The sequence below is a fragment of the Homo sapiens genome, chromosome 20, assembly GCF_000001405.40.
Source record: "Homo sapiens chromosome 20, GRCh38.p14 Primary Assembly".
NCBI classification, from domain to species: Eukaryota; Metazoa; Chordata; class Mammalia; order Primates; family Hominidae; genus Homo; species Homo sapiens.
In genome coordinates this window covers 37,422,092-37,427,004 of record NC_000020.11, presented here as the reverse complement: position 1 = coordinate 37,427,004, position 4,913 = coordinate 37,422,092, and the positions used below count along the sequence as shown (strand labels likewise).

At 55.0% G+C, this 4,913-nt stretch overlaps 2 annotated features.

The window, feature by feature from the left end:
- Nucleotides 347–847: an enhancer, noted in NCBI's record as "H3K4me1 hESC enhancer chr20:36054561-36055061 (GRCh37/hg19 assembly coordinates)". NCBI's record gives its function as "activates a minimal SCP1, AML or CMV promoter by ChIP-STARR-seq in primed H9 embryonic stem cells {active_cell/tissue: H9 hESC(primed)}" and the evidence as "EXISTENCE:reporter gene assay evidence [ECO:0000049][PMID:30033119]".
- Nucleotides 848–1,348: an enhancer, noted in NCBI's record as "H3K4me1 hESC enhancer chr20:36054060-36054560 (GRCh37/hg19 assembly coordinates)". NCBI's record gives its function as "activates a minimal SCP1, AML or CMV promoter by ChIP-STARR-seq in primed H9 embryonic stem cells {active_cell/tissue: H9 hESC(primed)}" and the evidence as "EXISTENCE:reporter gene assay evidence [ECO:0000049][PMID:30033119]".

Below are 4,913 nucleotides of genomic sequence, written 5' to 3'. Positions count from 1 at the left end.
ACCAACATTTCAACAACCTCTACAAGGGGTTCTCCAGGGGCTGGTCATTGGAGGACATGAGGAGAAATGCAGGAGGGACATCCCAGAAAGTGCTGAAATGCTGCCAAGAGTCAGAGGAAGAGAAAAACTAACATTTAAAATGTCCATGAAATTTGGCAGCATGGGGGCCACCTATGAGCTTGACCAGGGCAGAGGCATCAGGGGAAGGGGCTGATGGGAGTGGGTGGAGGAAATGGGGCTAGTGGTGGTGGCGGGAGTGCAATTCTTTCCCAGAGGTTTTCTAGGAAGAAAGGAAAGGAAAGGAATGGAGCTGTAGCTGGAAGAGAGATGGAGTCACGGGAAGGATCTTTTTCTAAGACCAGAGAGGCTTGCAGGCTGGCTCAGGAGACCCAGGGCATTTCCAAAGGGCAGCCATCATTCAAAAATAGTAAAAATTGTGCCCTAGAGACAAGGAGTGTGGGGGACGGGGAATCTGAGAGGAATATAAGGAAAAGAAAATGGCATACCCATGGGGTCGTTCACTCATTCATTCATTCAGAAAATCTTTAGTCACAGCTACCCGTTTAATCTTTAATTACAGCTACGGATTGCAAACCTGGCCCTGCCGCAACAGCTTTTCGGTATTTGCCTAATCCTCGAGATACTCCATGAGGAACATGTCGTCACCAGCTTCGTTAACGGACACGGGGACTTAGGAAGGTAACAGGTGTTTCAGTAAGAAGTGGAGGGTGAGACCGAAGGTGGTGGCCCAGGAAAGGGGCCCCGGAGGACAGTCGGCAGGAAATGGGCACAGATGGGTGGTGGGCGGCAGGCCACTGGAAGAGTCAGAGATGAGTCCGGGCTCCTGGCTGCAGCCCCGGTGGGTGGTGACGCCCAGCGCTAATGAGAACAGGAGAAAAACACATTTGAGGACTGTAACGACAGGCAGTGGGCTTGAGGCATCGGTGGAGGGGCCAGCAGGTGCCGGCCTTGTGCCTTCATCAAGGCGAATGGCAGGGAGGGACTCTGAGGGTCAGCACTGTGGGTAGGGAATGGGCTTCCCAGTGAGAAGGTGCAGAAGGTGGACAGGGTACAGGGAGCCCAGGACAGGACAGAAACTGCAGAAAAGAGAAAGATTCCAGGGCCCTTTACACTGAGAGAGAAATGCTTGACACATACCACCTCACACCACCTTACAGGGTGATTCTGGAGCCAGACAGCCTGGGTTCAAATCCTACCTTCACTACTTACTTGCCGTGTGACCTGGGACAAGTCTTTTCACCTCTCTGAGCCTTGGTTTCACCATCCGTGAAAGGAAATAATCATAGGGTCTATACTTGTCCCGTAAGGATTAAATGAAAAGCCCACGGAAGGTGCTTAGGACAGTTTCCAGCATGTGGTGAGCGCTGTGTAAGGATTCATGGCTGCTGCTCTTCTGTTCCGTCTTGTTTTGTCCTTGAGCACCAATAGCCTTGAGAAAGGCAGACGGACACAAAGAGACCCATGATGTGACTGAGGCTTGTTATGAGAGAGCCCGGAGTGGAAGCCACTTTCTAAAGGGGAAGCAGGAAAGGCTTCGGAAGGAAGGGCCATTTGAGCAGGGCCTCGAAGGATGCATAGAAGTTAGCCAGGTGGAGAAAGAAGGTGTGTTCCTTCTTCCAGCTGCTCCCAGGATCCACTGAGTGCACTCAGCCCCATGCTAGGCAGGCGAGGAAAATCTCCAGAGAGAACTGGAGTGCCAGGCCCACCCTCCGCCACCCCTGGCCTGGGTACGAGGCAGGTACAGAGAGACAAATAATTACAAGAGAAGATGGGAACAGCAGCAACAATGAGGTGGTGCCCAGGGGTCATGGGAGCCCCAAGGCAGGATGCCCACTTGTGGGGTGACAGGAAGGGGTGCTGTGAGAAGAAGGGAGCTGGGTAAAGGGGAGGAGGAGGGAAGGAGGGTGCATCCCAGACCGAGGGGACAGCCATAGCAAAGTGTCAAAGCTGGGGAAGGCCACTCATGTCCCCAGTGATCCTGACCAGCCTTCCCTTCCCCATCCTCACCACCCGCAGCCCTCCATAGTTTGTCTCCCATGCTTATTCCCTGAGTACCTATTAAACATCTCGGAGGAGCCACACCTGCGTGGACCAACCTCTTTCCTTCTTCCCTACTGCCACCGCAGCCCCTCACAGCCTCTGCACCTTCCTTCTTCTTCCTTGCTGCCAGAGGGCACATTATCAAACTCCCCAACTGTGACAGATCACCCCCTTGCTCTATAACCTTCACTAGCTCCCTACGGGCCATGCAGTAAAGTCCAGAATTCCTAATGTCTGCTAAAACAGGGCAACAGCAGCTTTCCTGGCATTGGCCCAGGCTCTTCCCACAGCCAAGACCTCCCCTCAGGGCACTTTCTCACCCTCAAGTCCCCACTGGACACGCCTCCCTCCTCAGCTCCTTCTCCTTCCTGGCTCCCTCTGTCTCCCACATCACCCCTTACTCTGCACCCTTCTGGACTCTTGCTGTCTCTCTGGGCATCTCTGTCTCTCCCTGGGTCTCTCTGCCTTTTTGCCTCCCTTTATCTCTCCCTCTGTCTCTCTCTGTCTCTCTATATCTCTCTGTCTCTCTGTCTCTCTCCGGGTTACTGTTATGCTCTGGGTTTCTGCATCTCTTCCTCTGTTTCCCTCTGTGTCTCTTCATCTCTCTGTCTCTGTCTGTCTCTCTCCCTCCCTCTCTCCATGTCTCTCTGTGTGTCTCTCTGTTGCCCTCTCCATTTCTCTCTCCCCCTCTGTCTCTCCCTCCCTCTCTCTCTCCTCCCTGCTCTCTCTCCATCTCTCTCTCCCTCCCTCTCTGTCTCTCCCTCCCTCCCATTCTCTCTCTGTGCCTCTCCATCTCCCTCTCCATTTCTCTGTCTCTCTCTCTCCCTCTCTGTCTCTCTCCCCACCTCTGTCCTCCTGGAGTCTGTGTTCCATTCCCCTCTCGCGCAGCTGGTGGCCGGCACGTTGGTGCAGACCCTAAAGCCCTCCAGGGCAGGCTGTGTGCTGAGTCCCAGTCTTTGTGTTGGGCTCCAGGTCTGCCCCTGGAGGGTCTTTCTCCTGGCCCCCAACCCCACAACTTTTGTCTTCTGTTTCTCAGTGCCTGTCTCTAGAATTAAATTCCATTTCCTTCCAATCCATGGGTGAGTGCTGCTGTGCGTGTGGTGCCCGCACGCCTGTGTGTGTTCACACATCTGTCCCTCTGTCCACCTGCCTTGGTCAGGCCTGCTCTCCAAGTCTCTCTGAGTCACTCATTCAAATGCCAGCCAGGGAGCCCTCCTGTGCGCCAGGAGAGGGGCTGGGGGCGCCATCGCCAGTGATAAGAATGACTGTAGTGCCATCGGAGAAAACGTTCCTGGCACTGGCCAGGTGCACAGCCTTTGGAAGAGAAGCTAGTGGCAGCTCCATGTCAGAGAGGAGGAAACTGACGCTCAAGGGTGAGGATGAAAGCAGCGACCCTGGAGGGAGACTCAGACCTACCTGCTCCAAATCCACACTCCATGCCCCTCTCTGATGTCCTCCTGCCCTGTACTGAGCTGGAGGCCTTGGGGAGAAACTGAGGCAGAGACGGGGTACAGCTAGTTCGGGGTCAGAGTTTAGGCTGGGAACCTCATGACAGTATGGGACTCTTATGGGCCACTCCATCCCTCTGGTGACCATTCCCACCCCCACCCCCCAGGGCCTCTCAGCCACACTGTGAAGTCACTGCAGGCTAGTGGAGGGGTCCCAGGCAGAATCCAGGCCTGCAATGACAAAGCCCAGGCCAGGGCAAGGGGGCAAGGAGGAGACAGGACCTCAGGGAGATGTTTGGGGTTCAGAATGGCAGGAAGCAGGACACTCCGGCTTGGGTGGCAGAAGCCAGGGGTCAAGCAGGGGTCCCACTGCGTGCTGACAACAGGTAATTGGTGCTCCCACGGCACGGCCCACTTCCCAGCCCCTATGAGGGTAGAGCAAGAGGGAAGCTCCTCCGTGGCCAGTCCCCTGGTCCCCTACCCCCTCATCTCCCGGGCCACATGAGGAAAGCTCCTGGAAACAGAACCGTTTCCTGCTTCCACTTGCTGCTAGGAGCTGTGTCCTCTGCCTACACCGCCCCACTCCGCTCCTGGAGGCTCTGTGCCATCCTTTAGGAACCCAAAGACAAAGGGATGGGGACAGGAAAAGGGACTGGGGGCCACAGGCAGGCACCTAGCACAGTTATCCCTGCATCCCGAAGCGGGCAGAGGAGGAAGGAGGAGGGAGGAAGGGCGGAGGACGCAGGGTCTCTTTCTGTCTCTCTCTCCCCCCAACTATTTCTTTCTAGCTGCTTCCCCCCCCCCACACACACACACACACACGCACTCACACCCACACGAAGGGAGAGAGGTAGGAGACCCTCAAACAGACGGACCTTCCCAACAAAGACATTCAGATGGGCTGACGAAGACACACAGGGGTGCCCCAAGTGGGGACCCCCAAATGTTTCTGAAGGAATGAATAAGAGAGTAGAGAGTGGGGTAGAATCTGCAAAGAAAAAGCGAGAAAAACAGTGCACAGACACAAGGCAAAGATAATGAAAAGCTCCCCAAAATGTCGGCGACGGCTCCTCTCTCCCTGGGAGTTGGGAGCACAGGGATTTTTATTTGTCTTCCTCTGCACATTCTTTTTGGTATTTTCCACCTTTTCTACAGGGAACACATATGACATCTGAAACCAAAGGAAAACAATAAATGTCATTTCTGAAAGAAAGGAAATGTTCGCAGAGGGGAACAAAAGCTGGCAGGGCTGCAGAGGCGGTGAGGGAAGGCGGGAGTACATGCAGCCTGGCTCACACCCACCCACCACACACACACAACCCTCAGCGCCCACACTCACACACACACCACACACACACACACACACACACACACAGCCCCTTCTTCAGGCTCACAGCAGGAGCG